General features: G+C 40.0%; 1 protein-coding gene across 4 annotated transcripts in view, besides 1 other annotated feature; it reads left to right on the top strand.

Moving 5' to 3' along the window:
- Window positions 1-22,543, top strand: part of DSCAM (DS cell adhesion molecule) — an 836,160-nt gene that overhangs the window by 738,641 nt on the left and 74,976 nt on the right. For all 4 annotated transcript variants that reach the window (NR_073202.3, NM_001271534.3, NM_001389.5 and 1 more), the window contains 2 exons: window positions 14,644-14,797; window positions 21,231-21,348. Coding sequence is in view for 3 of the 4 variants with exons in the window: in NM_001271534.3 (NP_001258463.1) it covers window positions 14,644-14,797; window positions 21,231-21,348 (272 nt within the window). In the remaining variant the exon portion in view is untranslated. The remainder of the gene's footprint in view (window positions 1-14,643; window positions 14,798-21,230; window positions 21,349-22,543) is intronic.
- Window positions 5,398-5,899: an enhancer, noted in NCBI's record as "NANOG hESC enhancer chr21:41474546-41475047 (GRCh37/hg19 assembly coordinates)". NCBI's record gives its function as "activates a minimal SCP1, AML or CMV promoter by ChIP-STARR-seq in primed H9 embryonic stem cells {active_cell/tissue: H9 hESC(primed)}" and the evidence as "EXISTENCE:reporter gene assay evidence [ECO:0000049][PMID:30033119]".

Genomic DNA, 22,543 nt, shown 5'->3' with positions numbered 1-22,543 from the left:
CATTTGTTTGTGTCATCTCTGATTTCTTTGAGCAGTAGTTTGTAGTTCTCCTTGTAGGGATCTCTCACCATCCTAGTTAGCTTCATTCCAAGGTACTTTATTCTTTTTGTGGCAGTTGTGAATGGGAGTTTATTCCTGATTTGGCTCTCAGCTTGACTGTTGTTAGAGGATAGGAATGCTAGTGATTTTCGCACTATCCTGAGACTTTACTGAAGTTGTTTATCAGCTTAAGAAGCTTTTGGGCTGAGATGATGGCATTTTCTAGATATGGAATCATGCCATCTACAAATAGGGATAGTTTGACTTCCTCTCTTCCTGTTTGAATGCCTTTTATTTCTTTCTCTTGCCTGATTGCCCTGGCCAGAACTTCCAATACTGTGTTGAGTAGGAGTGGTGAGAGAGGGCATCCTTGTCTTGTGCCAGTTTTCAAGGGGAATACTTCCAGCTTTTGCCCATTCAGTATGATGTTGGCTGTGGGTTTGTCATATATGGGTCATAATACTTTGAGGTGTGTTCCTTCAATAACTAGTTTATTGAGAGTTTTTAACATGAATGGATGTTGGATTTTACCAAAAGCCTTTTCTGCATCTATTTGAGATAATCACATTGGCTCAAAATAAAGGGATGGAGGAAAATCCAGTAAGCAAATCAAAAACAGAAAAAAGCAGGGGTTGCAATCCTAGTTTCTGACAAAACAGACTTTAAACCAACAAAGAACAAAAAAGACAAAGATCTAACTGTCCTAAGTTTACATCATCCTATATTTTACATAATGGTAAAGGGTTCAATTCAAGAAGATCTAACTATCCTAAATATATATACATCCAACACGGGAGCACCCAGGTTCATAAAGCAAGTTCTTAGAGACCATCAAAGAGACTTAGACTCCCACCCAATAACAGTGGGAGACTTTAACACCCCACTGACAATATTAGACAGATCATTGAGACAAAAAATTAACAAAGATATTCAGGACCTGAGCTCAGGTCCTGAATTAGATGGATTTGATAAATATCTACAGAACTCAAATGGATCTGAAAGATATTTACAGAACTCTCCACCCCCAAACAACAGAATATACATTCTTCTCATTGCTACATGACACTTACTGTAAAATTGATCATATTAATCAGAAGTAAAACACTCCTCAGCAAATGCAAAAGAACTGAAGTCGTAACAGTCTCTCAGACCACAGCACAATCATATTCAAAATCAATACTAAGAAATTCACTTAAAACTATACAAATTACATGGAAATTGAATGACCTGCTCCTGAATGACTTTGGGGGTAAATAATGAAATTAAGACAGAAATCAAGAAGTTCTTTGAAACTAATAAGAACAAAGATACAATGTACCAGAATCTCTGAGACACTGCTAAGGCAGTGTTAAGAGAGAAATTTATAGTACTAAATGCCCACGTCAAAAAGTTAGAAAGGTCTCAAGTTAACAACCTAACATCACAGCTAGAAGAACTAGAGAATCAAGAACAAACAAATCCCAAAGCTAGCAAAAGACAAGAAATAATCAAAATCAGAGCTGAACAGAAGGAGATAGAGACATGAAAAACCATTCAATGGATCAACAAATCCAGGAGCTAGTTTTTTGAAAAAAAAAATAAAATAGATAGACCACTAGCTAGGATAATAAAGAAAAAAAGTGACAAGATTCAAACAAGTACAATCAGAATAAATAAGTGGGATGTTACCACTGGCCCCACAGAAATACAAACAACCATCAGAGAATATTATGAACACCTCTATGCACATAAACTAGAAAACCTAGAAGAAATGGATAAATTCCTGAACACATACACTCTCCCAAGACTGAAATAGGAAGAAATTGAATCCCCGAACATACCAATAATGAGTTCTGAAGTTGAGGCAGGAATAAGTAGCCTACCAAATGAAAAAAGCCCAAGATTAGATGGATTCATGGCTGAATTCTACAAGATATACAAAGAAGAGCTGGTACCATTCCTATTGAAACTATTCCAAAAAATCTAGGAGGGGGGACTCCTTCCTAACTCGTTCTATGAGGCCAGCATCATCCTGATACCCAAATCTGGCAGAGATATGACAAAAAAGAAAACTTCAGGAGAATATCCTTGATGAACATCAATGCAGAAATCTCAACAAAATACTGAAAAACTGAATCCAGCAATACATCAAAAAGCTTATTGATATAGTTTGGCTGTGTCTCCACTCAAATCTCTTCTTGAATTGTACCTCACATTTTCTCCATGTGTCATGGGAAAGACCCGGTGGAAGGTAATTGAATCATGGGGGCGGATTTTCCTGTGCTGTTCTCATGATAGTGAATAAGTCTCATGAGTTCTGATGGTTTTATAAAGAGCAGTTCCCCTGCACACCCTCTCTTGTCTGCCACCATGTAAAACATGCCTTTGCTCCTCCTTCGCCTTCTGCCATGATTTTAAAGCCTCCCCAGCCATGTGGAACTGTGAGTCCATTAAACTTCTTTTTCTTTATAAATTACACAGTCTCTGGTATTTCTTCATAGCAGTATAAAAATGGGCTAATACACTTATCCACCATGATCAAGTAGGCTTTATTCCCAGGATGCAAGGTTGGTTCAACATACTCAATCAATAAATGTGATTCATCACATAAACAGAAGTAAAGACAAAAACTACATGATTATCTCAATAGATATGGAATGTGGTTCTAAATCTTCTCAGTTTTTTGTGTGCAATTTTTGCCTATTTATTTGACTTCTATTCTTTAAGAAAGTGGAAGGGAAGTCGATGTTGTTTTTTATAAGTTTATCATTTAATAGTGGTCTTTTTTCCCTGTTATCCTATTCACAGTGTCTGTTCTCACACTGCTAATAAAGACATACTCAAGATTGAGTGACTTACAAAGGAAAGAGGTTTAATTGACTTACAGTTCAGCATGGCTGGGGAGGCCTTAGGAAACTTACAATCATGGTGGAAGGGGACACAAACATGTCCTTCTTCACGTGGCAGCAGCAAGAGGAAGTGCAGAACCAAGGCGGGAAATGCCCCTTATAAAGCCAGGTCTCATGAGAACTCACTCACTGTCACAAGAACAGCATGAGGGTAACCACACCCATGATTCAGTTACCTCCCACGGGGTCCCTCCCACGGCACATGGGGATTGTGGGAACTACAATTCAAGATGAGATTTGGGTGGGGACACAGCCAACCCATATCACACAGTGAACAAGCCAATAACTACTCAATCTTTCTGTTGAAGCTATATTTCAGTTTTCTTCTCATATTGTTCTCAGTGGTTGTTTGTCCACTAGGCATTATGTGAAATCATTCAATTGCTATAACTGGTAAAATGCAGATGGCCTATACTCAAGGTAGAAATCTTGGCCTTTAAAATTCTGAGCCCAATCATGTAATTTATAGAGCAAAGAAAACTTAAGCATATACTCCCCTAAAATTTTCATACAGAAAGAGGCCCTGGAAATCTCTTTTGAAGCTCAGTCTCATAAGACTGCCTGCCTGATTTGTCAGATAACCTGTCACTAAGCATTCTAGCTTTGAGGTAGCATTCATTCAGACTAGGTAGCTTAGTGTATGCCACCCTGAATGTACTTCCCCATTGCTGCGTAGAGCTTTCTGATTATCCACAGGCTAAAATGCCTTTAAAAAACTTGACTTTATTTTTTAAGCAGTTTTAGGTTCACAGAAAAATTGAGAAGAAGGTACAGAGATTTTCCAAATGCCCCTGCCCCTACTGCACAGCCTCCCCCACTATCGACATCCCCCAATAAAGTGGTGCATTTGTAACAATGGTGGAACCTACATTGACACATCATTATTAGCCAGTGTTCATAGTTTATGTAAGACTTACTCTTGGGGTTGTACATTTTATAGGTTTGGACAAATGTTTGATGACATGGATCCACCATTATAGCATCATGCAGAAGTTTCACTGCCCTGAAAACCCTCTGTGCTCCTCCTATTCATCCCACCCTCTTAACCTCTGATCTTTTTACTGTCTCCAAAGTTTTGCTAAAATGCCCTTTTTATCAATTAGCTTTTGGAGCTTTTGGAAGATTGCAGCTTTGAAAACATCTTATCTTTTTGACTTGGCCTGACACAGACATATTGTACTATTTAAGGAAATAAATTGGCTTTAAATCATTTTTCAATTAACACTAGTGGAAAGAGCTATTTTTTTCAATTTTGTAAATTCTGCATATATTATTTTTATTACTAAGAATTGTGTTTCTCATTAATTTCTTGTATGTGAGAAACTATATGATAACAAATTAGTTTTTTTGTACAGAATTTGTTGAATAGGTGACAGCAATCAAGTTAAATTAATAATGTAACTTTGACAGATAGATAATTTTCATGGCAGGTGGTATGACAATGAAAAGGGGATGAGGAAAAATTGTAGCAAAGGGAGATTATATCGGTTGGAAAGAGCCTGTTAACATAAGTATCTGTAATGCCACCTGGGCTAATTGGATGGTGCTTCTAATTCTAAACAATTACATCAAGAAACTAGTTTTTCTCATGCCTTCTCTGGATATCAACTTTAATATAGTTGCAAAACATTATAGCAATAACTTTTATATTTGGAAGGCCAAAAATAAAATATTTTATATTTGAAAGGCTTTTTAAAAGTAGCCAATAGTCTATGTATATAATTATATATATAGTCTACATATAGTCATATATATAGACATATATATAATGGTATCTATAGTCATATATATATATATGGTCATATATAAAATATTTTATATTTGAAAGGCTTTTTAAAAGTAGCCAATAGTCTATGTATATAGTTATATACATAGTCTATATATAGTCATATATATAGTCATATATGTAATGGTATCTACAGTAATCTCAGTGAAAGGCAGAGGAAACTACCAGAATTGCCTGGCTGTTATCCCATTTCTACCAATGTTGGCCTCTCAACCTATGCCTTTAGGAAGATCTTTCTGCCATGACATCTTCTTTTATAGATGGGAACTGTGAAATAAAATGGAAATTAGATCAAAATATATTATACATAAGAATTTTAAAAATCTTAAATTAATGCAGTGAACTGCTAATTCTTAATGGAATCCAGGCCATTTCTTTGCCACTAAACAAGAAGATGTTAAGCATTCTAAAAGTTCCCTTACCCTATAATTAAAAGAGCTATCAATTTTGTTTATTGCTTGGGGGAGTTTTTTTTTCACTGCTGTGGACATTCTATCTATGAAATCACAGCCTTCAAGTTTTTTTAATTGCATGTTAACAATTAGCTATCAGAGCTTTTTAAAACATCACATTTCCTTATAGAATTAGTTTTTCATTAAAAAGTTAATTGAAATTTTTAAAAGTAGAATTCCTTTTATATCAGACAGGCTGAATAGTTTGACATGAACAGCCTATGGCTTTGTAGTCATTTTATCCTCATTATTTCCTATCGTACTCAAATCATTTCTAGGTCATTACTAAACTCACCTAGTACAACAAGAATTTCTTCAGTGTATTCCAGTTACTGGTCATTGAGTCCCAGCTCTAAGCAATGCTCTGAACCAGGTTCCCTGCAGAGTGAGTAGAGGGATGGGTGAGTAAAAGGAGTAGAGGGATGGGTCGGGGAGCCTGACCCCTGGGGAGATGCAGTAAGCACATGCAAGACCATAACCCACAGTGGAATAAAGGCAAAGGCTATGAAAGACAAAGGGCAGACTTAGCCCCTGATTGAGAGGACTAGAGAAGGCTCTGCAAGGTCTTACAAGTGCAGCTACAAGCTAAGTAATGTGAGGGGTTCGGAAATGAATTTGGCAATTATTGGGTAAACGTCTAGTTTTATAGACATGACCAAAGAGTGTTTAAAGTGCCTCACTGTGGCTAATTATATCTTATTTACTGGTCAAAAGCATCTTACACATGAAAAGAAAAATATTATATCAACACCACAAGGCAACAATAATTGTGGAATGAAGGCAGGTCTAGAAGACGCTGTTCCCAGGCTTTCCATGAGTTGACCCTGAAGCACTAGGAGAAAACTAACTTCCTCACAACCCTTACACTCTTTTGACTGGAAGAGTAAACTGTGCACATTTAGTTCCTTAGGAACCCACGACTCTACCCAGCAGACCTAAAGCAGTAACATACAAAGACAAAACGCTTGAAATGTGAACGCTCTGGCTTGGGTGTCACAAGATTTATCCCATTTACTGTATTTTCCACTCTGGATACGGCTTTGGGGAGGCAAACATGTCAGAAGTCTTGTAAAACCTTGCTATAAATATTTTTTAAAACAAATATATGAAGTTTCCATTTATTTTTTAGGCATCTTATAAATATTCATCCATGTCTTCAACTATGACAGGGTTGGTTTTAGAGAAAGGTTCAAACGAGTTTATATCTAAATTTTAGTAGGAATTGGTCAGACTTCTATGGTGCCTCATTTTAAATTAATCTGTTTGCCAAGCTGTGGTCACTTCTTGCTCCCCGGGGGCAGGAACTTGCCTTATAATCTACACACTGCAACTGAACTCAGTAAATGACCATTAATTGAAACTCAGTAATTATTTACAAGCCCTTCCTATTACGAGGCATGAAGCTAAGAACTTTTGCCTAGATTTTCTTCCCACAGCCCAAAGGAGAGAACGATAGTCCAACAAGCTTCTATGTCTGGCTCATGGGGTCCTATAACTCTCGCCAACATCCCTTATCCACAGACCTCCATACTTTGAAGGCAGCAGTGTCTGCCTGGACCCCCCCCCACCACCTCCCACAGTAAAAACCATGACCAGCCCACTGTAAGAATAGTATTTGAGATGGTTCATTACATAAGCAACATGCATATTTTACATTTTATGTGTGTGTCCTCAGACCAAATACCCAAATCTTCCCCTAAGAACACTGTGGATTGCCCCTGTTACATGACATCGGTAGAGCAGGATTCCCCAACCCCCGGGCTACGGACTAATACTAGGGACCTATACTGCATGCTTCTTATGGGAATCCAACTAATGCCTGATGATCTGAGGTGAAACAGTTTCATCCCAAGACCATCCCATCCTACCACGTCCATCCATCTGTGAAAAAAAAAACTGTCTTCCACGAAATCTGTCCCTGATGCCAAAAAGGCTGGGGACCGCTGAGCCAGAGAGAGCCCTGTTCTTCTCATGCCACCATGTTATCTGGTGGACCAAGAAATCAGTAACTTGGCAGCCACTTAGAGCCTTTCAATTGAGAAGTGATTAATTAATAATAAATGTTGGCTTGCTTCTCAACTTGGATAGAGCCTACATGTTTAAACACATTTTAGATGAGAAATAACAGGCTTTTTCCTCAGCTAGCCAAGAGGAATATATGACAGATGCAAAATAATTGGCAACCCCAGTCCACAAATGTCCCATCCACTTCCTCAAGCTGGGCATAGACAGAGCAGGATTAAAAATAAGCCATGGAAGGGAATCCCTGGCATTCTGGTTCAGGGACATGGGGGATGGGATCCCTCAAGTCCATGCCTGGCGGCAACTTCGTAATGTTGGCTGTTTCTGTATTTCCACAGGTCACAAAGGAACTCTTATGTCTTCTCTTCAAACAAATGGTTAGCACAATTACTGTAGTCCACTCAAAATTAATTCACACTTTAGGCATAACAAAATCTAGGATGACTGACACGTCTGTCTTAACTCTAAAGAAGATGAGACTGGAGAGTTCAAAGTCTACCTGAAGAAAATGAAATATTTAAATATTAAGAAAAGTGTCTCTGTTGCTTCCCCACAGATTTCTCCTTTTGCCACATTTGGTTCATTAATCCCTAAGAAACTCCATTGTGAGTTTGCCCTTCTTTATACCGCAGTGTTTATCTGTTGTCCTTGATAGCGAAGCTTTGCTTTGTTTCTTTAAAAAAAAAAAAAAAAAAGATTCAGAGTCTCTGAAATAGCAACCCAGCTGATATATCAGGCGAAATCTGGAAATCAAAGTGATCCCTTCTCATTGAACATTCTCTATATTTGGAAGAGAGTGCTACGTAATAAAATATGCATGTAGAAATTAGCAAGTCAGTTTACACACTATTGGATTGTTGTGTTGGAAAATCTGGTATCCAATAAAAAGAAAATTAATGAAATATAAATATAGTCCATGCTATCCTAACTTAATAAAATATGGAGGGAAATATTTCAAAAGGAGATGATATTTATCATCCCTTCTTTTCAGAACAAGCATTTTTGGCTGAGCATTAAAAAGGATTTAATCAACTAGATTGGCTCCACTACACTGAGAGAACTTCTGGTTATTTTCTTCCCATTTTGCTCTTTTTTTCTTTTTTCTCCTACCTACTGTTAAAATGGTTAATAATGATTGAGTTATGCACCATCCATAGCTAATGATTCTGTTTACAATAAATACTATATAATTTACACTGCATCCCTCTGTTGGAGGCATTTCATGCCTATGGTTCTCTCTCTCAAGACATCCAGGCTTGCTCTGTCCTCTAGGGTCAACCAGTAGGCATCCTTACCCTGCTTCACTCTAGGAGGCGTGGCCAGTCCAGCCCAGCCTCCTCTCCTGTTGTGAGCAGGGCTAACCTCTGCCACTGTGGTTCGCCATTAGCCTTCTCAGGTGTGGCTCACTTACCAAGCTCTGTGTCCTTCAGACTCCAAGTTCTCCGAGAGATTCCCTAGAGCTCAAAGCCCTCTTCCACCCATAAGAGGGAATACTCACAGACCTCTCTCAACAGAAAATCCTTATTCCTGCCCCAGCCTCTTTTGGAGCCTGGAAATGGATGACTGGCAAAACATGAGAACCAGCAAGTCCTGCCCAGGTGGCCTCACAGCTCTTGTTAGGAAAGAAGGCACTGGCATCTTTAGGAGCATTCTCACGCTTTAAGATCATCGCTAAAACTTCCAGAGAACAGGAAGAGTCAACTTTAATATCCAGTTACATATATTCCAAAGAAAATAAATCAACTCTGATGGTTTAAATTGTTCAGTTATCAACTTTCTGCTTGCCCTTCTACTAAGACCAGGAAAATTGTGCCTAATTATGGCAGTCCTCAGAGGAATACACAGTGGCATCAAAGGGTGGTGACATCAGTGTAACTAACTTACCCAAATAACCAATAGGAGCCACTAACAGCTTGACGTTATTATTTTTCATCCTAACCTACGGAGAAATTAAGGAAGTTTCTATGAATATACCTTTTTTACTTCAATTCTTGATTAGTCTTCTATATAAATGATGAAACAAATCTTGTTGCATAAAAAGTCATATTTTATTGTTGATTTTAGCCATGCATTATGTTACAGGCAAAAATTAAAGTGTGTGTTTTGGAGGTAATCAAGAACGAATTTTACCTTGTCAACAGGATAAGTATGGAGTTTTAACTAAAAGCTATGTTGTCTACACAGAAAAAGATCTTTATTTTATAAATATATCTTAATGCTTTCCTGATGCTTAATGTTCAGTAAGAGTAATTGTTAGAATTTGCACATCATTAAGCTTTGTAAAATTAATTTGGCAATGACATAGCCTTGGAGAATCACACAATGCAAGTACATACAGTCTCAGGATTGTCTCTTTGGTTTATCAGGAAACAGGCCAAATTCCCTCTGAACTTCTAGAGGGACTAATTTTCCCATAATACTCTAAGACGTGACTGGAGTGTTGTAGTGGGAGGGGGGTGGAGGTGAGGTGTAAATGAGTGCATACACATGCACGTGCATGCTAGATTATAGTGATGTATCTAGGGAATCCATGCAAGAGTCTCTCCAAATCATCTGACACTGTGTACCCACAAATTAAAGTTTTGACAATAAGTAATTATCTGACATTATGTTTTGTTGAGGAAGCATGAGGTTGTATGACAATTAAGAGATATAGTGAAGATTTAAATCCCCTGTTTAATTGCATGACTGGTATTGTAACTTATGCAGCCTGCTGAGGCATGTAAGGTTTATTGAAAAGCTAACAAGAGTAAAAGTAAGTCCTTCTTGTTTTGGTCACTTCTAATTGACAGCATAAAGTGTGAGGAAATAGCACCAGACTTGGGACCAGAGGCCCTGAGCTGGAGCCATTGTTCTGCAGTTGTCTGGTCTTGTGACATCAGTGAATCACTTACTTTCTCTGAACCTCAGTTTCCTGATCTATAAAATGGATCCAGCTCCACCTACTTCACATGGCTTTTTAAGGAACAATTCTGACCTATCTAGGTCTATGTCTCCTTGAAGTTCCATTAGTTTTGTTTCATGTAATAATAAATCCTAAACGTTTATTCACCTAATAACCAAGCTTCATATCTTTGAATAATAGGTGAATATTAGGTGAATAAATGTTTAGAATTGTTATGTTCTCTTGATGAACTGACCCCATTATCGTTATGAAATTTCTGTCTTTATTACTGGTAATATCCTTTGCTTTTAAATCTATTTTGTCTGATATTACTATAGCCATTCCATATTTTTTTGATTAGTGTTATCATAGGATATCACTTAAGTTCCTTTATTTTTAACCTATTTGTGTTTTTATATTTCAAGTACATTTCTTTCTTTCTTTCTTTCTTTCTTTCTTTCTTTCTTTCTTTCTTTCTTTCTTTCTTTCTTTTTTTTTTTTTTTTTGAGACAGAGTCTCACTCTGTCACCCAGGCTGGAGTGCAGTGGCACAATCTTGGCTCACTGCAAGCTCCGCCTCCTGGGTTCATGCCATTCTCCTGCCTCAGCCTCCAGAGTAGCTGGGACTACAGGGACCCACCACTACGCCCGGCTAATTTTTTGTGTTTTTAGTAGAGACAGGGTTTCACCACGTTGGCTAGGATGGTCTTAATCTCCTGACCTCGTGATCCACCTGCCTCGGCCTCCCACAGTGCTGGGATTACAGGCGTGAGCCACCGCACCTGGCCTATTTCAAGTACATTTCTTGTAAGCAGCATATAGTCGGATATTGCTTTTATATCAGGTCTGACAATCTTTGCCTTTAATATATTTAGATCATTTATACTTAAAATTATTATTACTATGTTTATGTTTAACTCTGTGTAGTGCTATTTGCTATTTGAGTTCTGCTGCTGTTGTGCTACTTGTTGCCCTTGTCAGTCTTTCTCTGACTTCTTTGGGGTTTTTTTTGTAATTCCATTTTATTTATCTTATTAGTTCATTAGCTTTATTTTATGCTATATTTTGTAATTTCAGCAGTTTCCTTACAATTCACAGCATATACTTTTAACATCTTAGTGTACTTTCAAGCGGTATTACACACTTTGCATATAGTATAAGAAACTTACAATCATATACTTCCATTTTTTCCTCCCAACATTTGTGCTATTGTTAAACATTTTACTTTTATTTATATTATATACCCACATTACATTGGTATTGTTTTTAACTATCAACCATATTTTAATAATATTTAAATAAGAAATACCATATATATGTATCTGTATAATTACCTCCTTTTTCTACTTATTTGTGTACATTTATGTCTCTGTCTATCTGGTATTATTTTCCTTCTGCTGGAAGGACTTTCTTTAACATTTCTTGTAATGTGGGTCTACTGGTGATTAATTCTTTCAGCTTCTTATGTATCTGAAAAAAGTCTTTATTCACTTTCATTTTGAATTATATTTGTTGAATATAGAATTCTAGGTTGATTTTTTTCTTTCAGTACTTGAAAGAAATCATTCCACTGTCTTCTTACCTTGATTGTTTTTCAAATGAAATTGGCTGCCATGCTTATCTTTGTTCCCCTTTACACAACATTTACTTTCTCTGGCTACTTTTAAGATTTTCTCTCTAGCACTGAAACTAAAACTCTTGAGTAGTTTGATTATGATGCTCCTTGGTACAGTTTTTTTTTTTAATATTCTTGTGGCTAGAATTCACTGAGTATCTTGGCTCTGCGGGCTACAGTTTTCATCAAATTTGGAAATTTTTCAACCACTATTTTTACAACCTTTTTTTGGTCCTGTCTCTCTCCCCTCCTTTAGGAACTCCACTATGTGCATGTTAGGCAGCCTGATATTTTTCCATAGCTCACTAATGCCCTGTTAACTTTTTTATTCTCTTTTCTATGTATCATTTATTAATATGTGTTGTGAACCTCAAATATCTGAGACAGGTCTCAGTCAATTTAGGCAGTTTATTTTGCCAAAGTGAGGATGCGTGCCCATGACACAGCCTTAGGAGGTCCTGACAGTATGTGCTCAAGGTGGTCCGAGCACAGCTTGGTTTTATGCATTTTAGCGAGACATGAGACATCAACCAATTTTTTAACATTGGTTCCATCTGAAAAGGCAGGACAACTTGAAGCAAAGGCGGGACAACTCAAAGTGGGGAGGGGGCTCGTGAGGAGGGGGCTTCTAGGTCCTAGGTAGATAAGAGACAAATGGTTACATTCTTTTGAGTTTCTGATTAGCCTTCTAAAGGAGGCCATCAGATATGCATCTATCTCAGTGAGCAGAGGGATAACTTTGAATAGAATGGGAGGCAGGTTTGCCCTAAGCAGTTCCCAGCTTGACTTTTCCCTTTAGCTTAGTGATTTGGGGGCCCCAATATTTATTTTCCTTCCACACCTTTAAGTTCACTAATCAGTTTTTCTGCAATATCTACGCTGCTGCTAATCAAGTTCAATGTATTTTTTATTTCATGCATTATAGTTTCATTTTGAGTTTAATTTAGGTCTTTTTGTATCATATCTACTTAAATTTTTGAACATATACAGTTATAATACCGCTATAATACAATTATAACTACTTTATTGCCCTTGTTTGCATAAATCTAATGTCTGTGCCAATTATGGGTGAATTTTGATTGATTGATTTCTTCTTATGAATTATGTTTTCCTGGAAATTTTTATGACAGCTTTATTGAGATGTCATTCACTTTTAACTTCAACAATTCAGTGGCTCTTAGTATATTCACAGAGTTATGCAACCCTTACCACTATCTAATTTTAGAACATTTTCATCACCCTGAAAAGAAACTGCACGCCCATTAGCAGTCATTCCCAATTTTCCCCTTCCCCTACCCTGCCCCTGACAACCACTAATCTATGTTGCCATCGATCTGCCTATTCTGAACATTTTAAATGAAGAGAATCACAAATGTGTGGTTTCTTATAATTGGCTCCTTTCACTTAGCATAATGTTTTCAAGATTTATCCAAGTTATAGCATTTATCAGTACTTCATTCCTTTCTATTATCTCATAACACTCTGATATGGCTTGGCTCCATGTCCCCAGCCAAATCTCATCTTTAATTATATAGCTCCCATAATTCCCATGTGTTGTGGGAGAGACCTGGTGGGAGATAATTGAATCATGAGGGCAGTTTCCTCTGTACTGTTCTCCTCGTAGTGAATAAGTCTCCTGAGATATAATGGTTTTACAAGGGGGAACCCCTTTTGCTTGGCCTCATTCTTTCTTGCCTGCCACCATGTAAGACATGCCTTTCACCTTCTGCCGTGATCGTGAGGCCTCCCCAGCCATGTGGAACTGTGAATCCATTAAACCTCTTTTTATTTATAAATTACCTAGTCTCGGGTATGTCTTTATCAGCAGCATGAAAATGGACTAATACAGACTCCATGGTATCGCTGTGACATATTATGTTTATCCAGTCATCAGGTGACACATATTTGGGCTATTTGTTTGTGGAAATATTTTAGTAGGTGTTAAACTTTGTGAACTTCACCTTTTGGAGTACTACATGCTTCAATTTCTATAAATTCTATAAATATTCTTGACCTTTATTCTTGGATGTAGTTAAGTTATTTAGGAATAATTTGTTCTCTCTAAGTCTTGCCTTTAAGAATAATTAGGAAAGACTGGAGTGGTATTCAGCCTGGGGCTAATTATTTCCCCTTTGTGGTAAGACCCTTATGCACTATACCCAATGCTCGAGGAATCTTGATGTTTTCCAACCCAACTGGTGAGAACAGCCACTACTCCCATCCCTGTGTGAGCATTAGGCACCGTGACCTCCAATTCTTTCAGGTGTCTTTCCCTGGCCTTGGGTAGTTTCCTCACATGCATCCATGGATCTGCTCAGCTGAATACCCAAGTAGGACCCTCTTCAATCTCCAGAGCTTGTCCTTTGTGTGTAGCTCTCTTTCCAGTGCTCTTCCTTGTGAACTCTAGCTTCCTTCAGGCTCTCAGCTCTGCCTCCTTAGCTTGGAAAGGCTGCCAACCTCCCGAGTTGAGGAGGTGGAGCTCTCTATTTTATCAGAAATAAAATTTACACTGCCCTACAAATTGCAAAATCTCTGCGATTGTGGGGTTTTCTTCATTCGTTTCCCATCTTTCAGAGATCACTGTCATTTATTACCTGATGTGCAATGCTTTTAGAACCATTGTTTTATGGATGGTGTGTGTTCCTCAGTTGTTTCAGGTGGGAGGGTAAATCTGGTTCTTGTTACTCCATCTCAGCCAAATACAGAAGTGCTGTGGCCTGTAATGTAAAGGGGTAAATTATTTATTGGTGGCCATCAAAGCTGCTGCAGAGAAAAATGTAGATGGTGGGTCACTTAAACTTACCAGTTACATTTTATATTGCAAAGCCAGCCTTTTAGAGGAGAGTGAGTTGAGTTTTTTTGTTATGATATTTAATATGTTCATGACCATTCCTTCGGGAAATCCATTTTTGCCACATGCTTCTTTGAATGTGGGAACACTTATGTCTCTTTTTACAGGTGATCAGCGAGTTTGAGGCCTCTCCCGACTCGTTTTCCTACAGAATTCCCAACCTGAGTAGGAATCGTCAGTACAGCGTCTGGGTGGTGGCTGTTACTTCAGCCGGAAGAGGCAACAGCAGTGAAATCATCACAGTCGAGCCACTAGCAAAAGGTAGGCAGTGGCTATAAGGACCTCATTTCCTGTTGTAACTTGACTGTTTTTAAGTCTCTATTTTACCTGAAATAAAACTTACACTTTCCTAAAAATCAAATAAACCAGAATATCACATTTTAGCTCAAGAAACAGGGTTGTGGCTAACAAGCTCTGAGCTTCTGTCCCATGGAAAAGTAATTCCCTGGAGGTAAACACAAAGCTGAGAATGAGTGGCCTTACAATGGAAGTGTCTATGAAAATTAGGAAAGGAGCCCTCATTCATTCCTTGGAGTAGCTGAAAATCATTACACGGCATTTTCCCAAGGATGTTCTACTTTCAGCAAAATCAGGTATCACACTTCTTAATGAGAAATGTCTATTTTATAGTCTATGGAATTTGCAAGCTTAAAAATATTTGAAAATCATTCACTATCTGTTGACAGAATGCTATAAGCAAAGACTTTAAGTAACAGCAGGAAGTAGGAGTCACCAAAGAATAAAAAGTTCCTTAAAGTGAATATAATATCTTCACATTTGTACGTTAAACTGGTCCTTAAAAAGCACACGCAGGCACGGGGTATTCTTGCTCTTCTGGTAATCACGGCCATCCAGTGTTTCCAGGAACCCCCTAAATTAGCATTCATAATAAGTCAATTTCCTTACGACACAATTCCAGGCCAGCAGGAGTTGCCCCTAATTTTGAGTTATAGAACAGTGGCAACTTATTACTAATATGTTCTCTGATAGCCTGAAAGACAAGAATGAACATTCCAAGATTCCAATTTTACCTCCAAGAATTCTCTGAAAAATGTGCTTTTTAATGAGATAGTTAAGAAATAGGCAGAATAAAGCAGTGAGGGGAAAAAAGAGGGGTGTCACATTTTGAGCTCAAATACAGATAGAAAATAAGTAAGTTGGTAAGGGAAATAAACTGGGGGACTTACTTTATGTATTACACTCTTTGGTCATGATATCCAGCCACTCCCTGAGAATGAGAAAATGATGATTACCAAGGAAAATGTTGGACATAAGGACTGAGCTGTGGGATTTACCAAAAAAACAACAAAAACAAACAAACAAAAAAACACTGCAACAAAACACATAGGATTAGCAATAATGTTTCTTCCTTTCCTTTGTGCTTTCAAAGTTCTATCTCTAGACACAGCCAGAAAGGCCTGGCTAGTGCAGTGGGGTATGACTTACTCAGTGGGGGAACAATTGAAAACTCTCACAGAAGCAGGTCTTGCCTGGGGAAATTCAATGTCCTCCAGTCATTTAATAAGTCATTTTGAGTGCCTGTTGTATGTCAGGGTCTATGCTGGGGACACAGAGGATTTGGTCAAGGGAGGCTGACTGCTGAAATAAATGTTCCCTAAATCTCAGTGGCTTCACATAATAATATAGTCCAACAGAGGTATTTTTGGTCAGGGCTCTCTTGGGTGGCCTGTTCCACATGGTGATTCAGGCATCCAGGCCCCTTCCACCTTATGATTTACAACCCTGGATTTCTCCTCATTTACAGCTAAATAGATGGGGGAAGAAGGGAGTATGGAGGGTTTGATGAGAGGTTTTCATGAGCCAGATACGGAAGTGTATACATTATTTTTACTAATATCCTATTGTCTAGAATAAAGGCATGGACCCACCAGGGAAAAGAAAACAGGGTTTGGAGAGCCCAGAGGAGTCTTTTGAGATGGTTTAAGAGATGTGTTCACTCCCTGACCCCCTGAAGCTTACAGTTTGGTGGGGAGCCAGTCAGTGATATGGTTTGTCTGTGTCCCCACCCAAGTCTCATCTTGGATTGTAGCTCCCATAATTTCCAAGTGTCATGGGACGGACCCAGTGGGAGGTAATTGAGTCATGGGAGCAGGTCTTTCCTGTGCTGTTCTCATGACAGTGAGTAAGTCTCACGAGATCTGATGGTTTTGTAAAGGGGAGTTCCACCACACATGCTCTCTTGCCTGCCGCCATGTAATACATGCCCTATGCTCCTCATTCACCTTCTGCCATAATTGTGAGGCCTCCCCAGCCATGTGGCACTGTGAGTCCATTAAACCCCTTTCCTTTATAAATTACCCAGTCTCAGGCATGCCTTTATTAGCAGCATGAGAACAGACTAATACAGTCAGTAAACAAAGCATCACAAAAGTATATGCATAGAGACAAACTGTAGTAAGTGCTATAAAGAAATAGTGTGAGAGGACCTCACCTGGAGTGTCAGATGGAGGACACACTTGGTCCCTGAGCACAAGCAAAGGCGGTTATGTGAAGAGAGAAGAAGTGAGCAGTCAGAAGCTCCTGCAGAGAAAGATTTAGCAGGTGGGAGGTCCAGGACACTGGACCCTGCTGGGGCCGGGGAAGGAACAGTGGTCCCAGAGACGCTGGGAAGGAAGACAGGGACCTGATCATGCTGGGTTTTCAACACTGTGTTAGGGATTTCAGATTTTGCCGCAAGAGAAATAAGGAGATGGTGTAGGGTTTTAAGCAAGGGAGGCACATGATCTCTCTTTCTCTCTGTGTGCATGTGTGTGTGTGTGATAAACCTTATTTTTTAGAACAGTTTTAGATTTACAGAAAAATTGTGATGATAGTACAGAGAGTTGCCATTTACCTCACACCTAGTTTCCCTTTTTATAGACATCCTAATTAAATGCCTTTCTTACAACTAATGGCGGGTGTGCTTTTTAAGACCACCTGGTCTCTCTGTCCTGAATGGACTGCAGAGAGGCAGAAATGGAGGAGGGTGGAGAAGGAGATAGCAAGAATGAACACCCAAATTCTCACATGAGTTAGCATAAGTGGAGGCACGATTTCTTGATGAAGAAGACCATGGAAGAAGTGGATTTTGAAGCCAGTGAGAGGAGGTACAGACATTTGGAGGGGTTCAATCCAAGGTGACGAAGAGCCATTCACTCAGAGGCATCTGTGCACTGAGGCATGTCCTGGCTCTCAAGAGACATCTGGCAGGAGGCAGAAATTCAGGCGGGTCAGCGTCTGGATATCGCTTACACCTGGGATGGGAATGAGATTGGCTGAGAGATGGAGGAGAGATGAAGGTGCAGGACGGACTCTCAAAGGGAGTGGGAGCAGGCAAAGGAAAAGGGGAAAAGCCAGAGAGGCAGCAGAGCCAGGAGGGTGTTAGGCTGTGGATTCAAAACAGATGCTTGCAAAAGGAGGGAGTGGTCAGGTGAGGCTGCTGCTGCTGGAAAGTCAGGCAAAACCAGGCGAAAATGCCCCTCAGTGGCCACACGGAAGATCGTGGTGACCTTCCTGTGAGCAGCATCAGTGGGTGTGGAGGGGCATGCAGAAATGAGCCTGAGTCAGGTGAGAAAGTGGGTAGGAGGTGAGGGGCAGGCTGACTGGGCAGAACATTCCTTCAACACACATCACCTGGAAGAAGTGACAACCAAGAGAAGAAGCTGGGAGGGGGAGGGAGGCTCTCATTCGAGGAAAGGCTCTGGGTTCATTATTTTTCATGAGGCCTGCCATCAGAGCATGTTTATGTGGTAACGGGAAGATCCCAGTAGAGAGGGAGAAACGAGAAATCAACAATACATAAGAAAGAGCCCACGACCACAGCACTGAGGTTTAGAGGAGGAAATGCCAGTAGGTTCACAGATTTGGTGGCTGGAAATGCAGGGTTCCTGGATGGTGTCTCTGAAGCATTAGGCAATTTGGGGATAGTGGAGGGAAGCCCAGAAGTGTGAGAAGAGGAGGGACAGCAGGAAGCCATCGTTGCAGGGAATGGGGAGGACATTTACTAAAGAAACAGTAAGACCAGCAGGGAGTGCTGACAGTTCAATTGAGGTTGATGATCCTAAATGGTGGTCAATCTCCAAATGCTCTATTGCGTGGATTTTTTTTCCAGAAATGTTCAACTTTTCATGCTTAAGGGAGGTTGACTCAGGGTTAGGATTGCTGTAGGTAGGTTTTCTGGAAAGGGGATAAGCTAGGGAGTGCCTCAGGATGGAGCAGACAGTCAGTTGGGCAGCCCCCACCCAGAAGCCCAGACACTGGCAAACCATGAAGGCTGAAAGGCCCATCCTAGAGGGATGGGGATGTCCACAGCAGAGGAGATTGAGACAGGTTATTCTGTAGTTGTTGGGAAGTCAAGGCAGACCAGCAGCAGTCTAGCGACAGGTAGCAGGGTCCAAAATTCAGATACAGTTGAAGAAGAGGAGGACCACTGCTTTTATGGAGGGAGTGGCAGAATGGGGCCATGGCACTGGTCCTGGGGGAAGCCCCTCCTAGGAAGGGGTCCAGGACACGAAGGCACAGAGAGCCTGGCCCCATGGCTGAGAACAAACGGGACCCGAATCAGAGGGGACACCAGGTTGCAGAGGGGTTCAGTTTCTCATCAGAATCACCTGGGATGCTTGTCAAAAGGCAGATGCCCCAAGTACAGGAAAGAGCTGCTGAATCCACAAGGCTGTGGTGGGAACCTGCATTTTAAACAAAGATTCTAGGGGATTCTCTTGGCTGCCCCAGGTCTAGTGTGTTGAGTTGCCCAGTCATACATTTCTGGCTAGAGACCCTTTAAATTTCAGCCGTCTAAAATGGGCAAAATGGGCATTGAGCGATAGCATGGGGGTTGTTGGGCTTGAAGATGAAGTAGCTCTAGCTTGTATTTTTTAAATTGCTAATGGAAAAGCATTCATAAGTCCTGGAGTTAATTTGAGGGGTTATGCCCAGAATGTTAAAGAACAACAATGGAATAGAGTGGAACAGAGTCAAATCAACTAGACTAGACTAAACTAGGGTTTAAAAAAGACAGAAAATATCAGAATGCATCACATACAGTGAAGTCTTTATTCATGCAACTTTGTTTGCACATACACAACATCCCAATGCATGTGTAGCTTCTGGAGTTTGATGTAAAACATATTTCTTAAAGTGGGTGACTGTTATAAAGCTGGAAAGCCCCTAACTCTAGCTGAATTTCTCTAGCCACCCGCCTTTTACTGCTGAGGACATTCTCTACTCTCTAAAGAACTGTCTGAAGTGTGTGAAAAAGAAAATGCCAAAAGCTACCAATGCAGGAAATCTGATGCTGCCTAATCAGGACCTTTTTGTTATCATGATGCAAAATCAGAAATGTCAATGACTGATGAAATGGGCCCTGCCTTAGAATACTTCATCTCAGTCCAGGGAAATTGCTTGAAACATGGGTTTTGCTGCAACAAAAAACAAGGTCCAGCTTCTAAGCCCTCTGGCATTTTCTTTTTCTCTCTACTCTTGCCCACAGTGCCCAGAGGCAAAAATGTATGATTTGGTCTGGTAGATCCTAGTGACTAATGTGGGTATTCTATACTAGGATGGCTGCATAATGACTTGGCTCTGGGTACTCTGCCCTTCCAGGGATTCTAGAGCTTCCCTGGGGGAGCCTTCTCCTCATCTTCCTTTGCCAATGCAAACCCTCAACCCAGAAATGGTGCAGGGGTCTCACATTTGTCCCATTTTTATGGGCTCTGAATCAGTTCAAGGCTGCCTTCCACCTATGGTTTCCGGTCTGTGCATCCATCGAGGGTGAGCTCCTGTAGGGGCACCTGTTTCCTCTATGTCCCCAGCTCCATGACAGTGTCTGAAGCATACTGGCTAAAACAAAGGACAGGAGAAGCCCCGGGCTCCTGTTTACACCCCAGAAAGTAATGTCCCAATGTATGGCAAAGACTGAGCAGATTGTTTTCCTCTGGAAGACTTGTGTGTGGTGTCCCTGTCAGCTTTTGTGACTCACTGATGGAGGTAGCACTAGAACCTCTCATTGCTGGCCACACTGGACTTCAAGGCAAGTTCACCCTGGGCTTTTTCTGACTGTCTTCTGGGACTTCTGCTACCTTGGGGCTGCACCAGTACCAGATGCCCCTGGCAGATGCTCCTGTTTGGGCATCTGAATCACTGTTCCAAGCAAATGGTTGTTCTTCAAGAGAGGCCACTCTGAAAATGTTCATTCTCCTTAATGTGTGTCCTAAAGATCAACTTGCTATAATACAGTCGGGAAATTGTTAAGTAGAACTTGTTCCAGTTTTACTCCTTCCCGTCTTTGGGGCCTTTGTGTTTTGTATTGTCTACTTTCTCTGATATTAAAGTATATTTTAATGAGCAGTTTTTGTGTTGAGGTAAATTGCTTCCTAAAGTGCTTTGAGAAATAATTGGGCTCATAGAAAACACAGCTTGGAGCTGCTTGGCTTATGAAGCCCTAGATATTTAATTTGGACTCCTCATGTTTAGTCAATAGAAGAAAAGAATGCTACAATGGGAATTTTCTGCTAGTTGTGTGTTCTTACAATGACAATTCCTCATAACCCGGGTACCAGAGAGTAGTGTTGACAGTTGTAATGTGAATTGGCTTCACATCCATTTTTAGGTATTGCCCTTATTGAGTAGGTCATGTTGGCCTCTGTGTAGACACGTCTGTGGAGTAATCAGGATTCCACTTTGTTTGGTTCCTCAGCTCCTGCACGAATCCTGACCTTCAGTGGGACAGTGACTACTCCATGGATGAAAGACATTGTCTTGCCTTGTAAGGCTGTTGGGGACCCTTCTCCTGCAGTCAAATGGATGAAAGACAGGTAACCAGTAACCCAATGTATGCCTTCAGTGAGACTCTAAGAGATTACATCTGACATACTCAGGTTGTGTCTAGTGGTCTCCTAATTTTGTGTTTATTTATATTAGTGAAAACTCAAGGAAACCTACCAATTCTTCTGAGATGAGGGCAGAGAAGGAATCTCAGCTTTAGCACTGAAAGGGTCTGATTTATTGTATCAACCCTCTGTTAATTCAGAGCCTTCTAGTTCATGAGAGAATGCTTGCAAGGAAAGTAGTTGAACCAACTCAATTATTGTGGAAGTTTGCTGCACCCTCTCAGGTAAATTGTCCATGTAACTGAGATGAATGCAGCCAAGGCTATTGTGAGATTTAACACCTATCTCTTCTTCTTTAAAGATAGTGAACTAACCATAACTCAAATACCCTGAGAAAGAACTTTAAGAAATGGAGTACATTAGGACTTTGCTAATTTAAAATCTGGTTCTCCATACTCCATAGTAATTATTTAAATAATAGGAGCCAAGATAGAGGGAGAGAGTGAGTGAGATATGGTCTGTCCATATAACTTTTTAAAGTGCTATATCTCTATTCAGGAGAAGAAATTAGGATATAAGTTAAGGGTCGAAAATTCATTTATGAGCATAGAAATGTGATCTAATGGATTCAGAAGAATGCCTATTTTCAAGCAAAAGCACTTAGAAGGCATAAACTGTAGAAATAATGGCTTGGTGTAGTGACCAAACTGTAGAAATAATGGTTTGGTTTAGTGACCACTTTTCTCATACATTTAAAGTTGGTTCATCCAAATGAAATATGTAGCTCCCAAGGTCAAGTTGGCATTCTGCCTGTTGTGGGAATGACCCCAAAGGACTGGACAATCTGCCACCGGAGCAGTGGTTATGATGGCCACGCAGTTCTTTTTATACTAGGGTAAACTCATCACCCTCTTGAGATATCACATGTCATTTTTCATGTCAAAATCATGAATAATTGTGACTTTAAGTGAATCTAAAAATGATCCCAAGGTTTAGTTTCCCCTGTATGATTTGTTCAAACTGGCACTTCTGCCTACAGAAGAAATTCCCAGAATTGCCAAAATGAGGATATCTCCAGTGCCCACAGAGTGGAGTAAAGAGGGACCCATCAGTCTCTGGCACAGATGAGGAGTCCACTGACTTGAGCCAGAATCTGGGCCCTTGACACAGATCTCATCTT

Source organism: Homo sapiens, chromosome 21 (assembly GCF_000001405.40).
Source record: "Homo sapiens chromosome 21, GRCh38.p14 Primary Assembly".
Classification (NCBI taxonomy): Eukaryota; Metazoa; Chordata; class Mammalia; order Primates; family Hominidae; genus Homo; species Homo sapiens.
The sequence above is the reverse complement of the archived record's forward strand: the minus strand, read 5'-3'. Positions and strand labels throughout refer to the sequence as shown.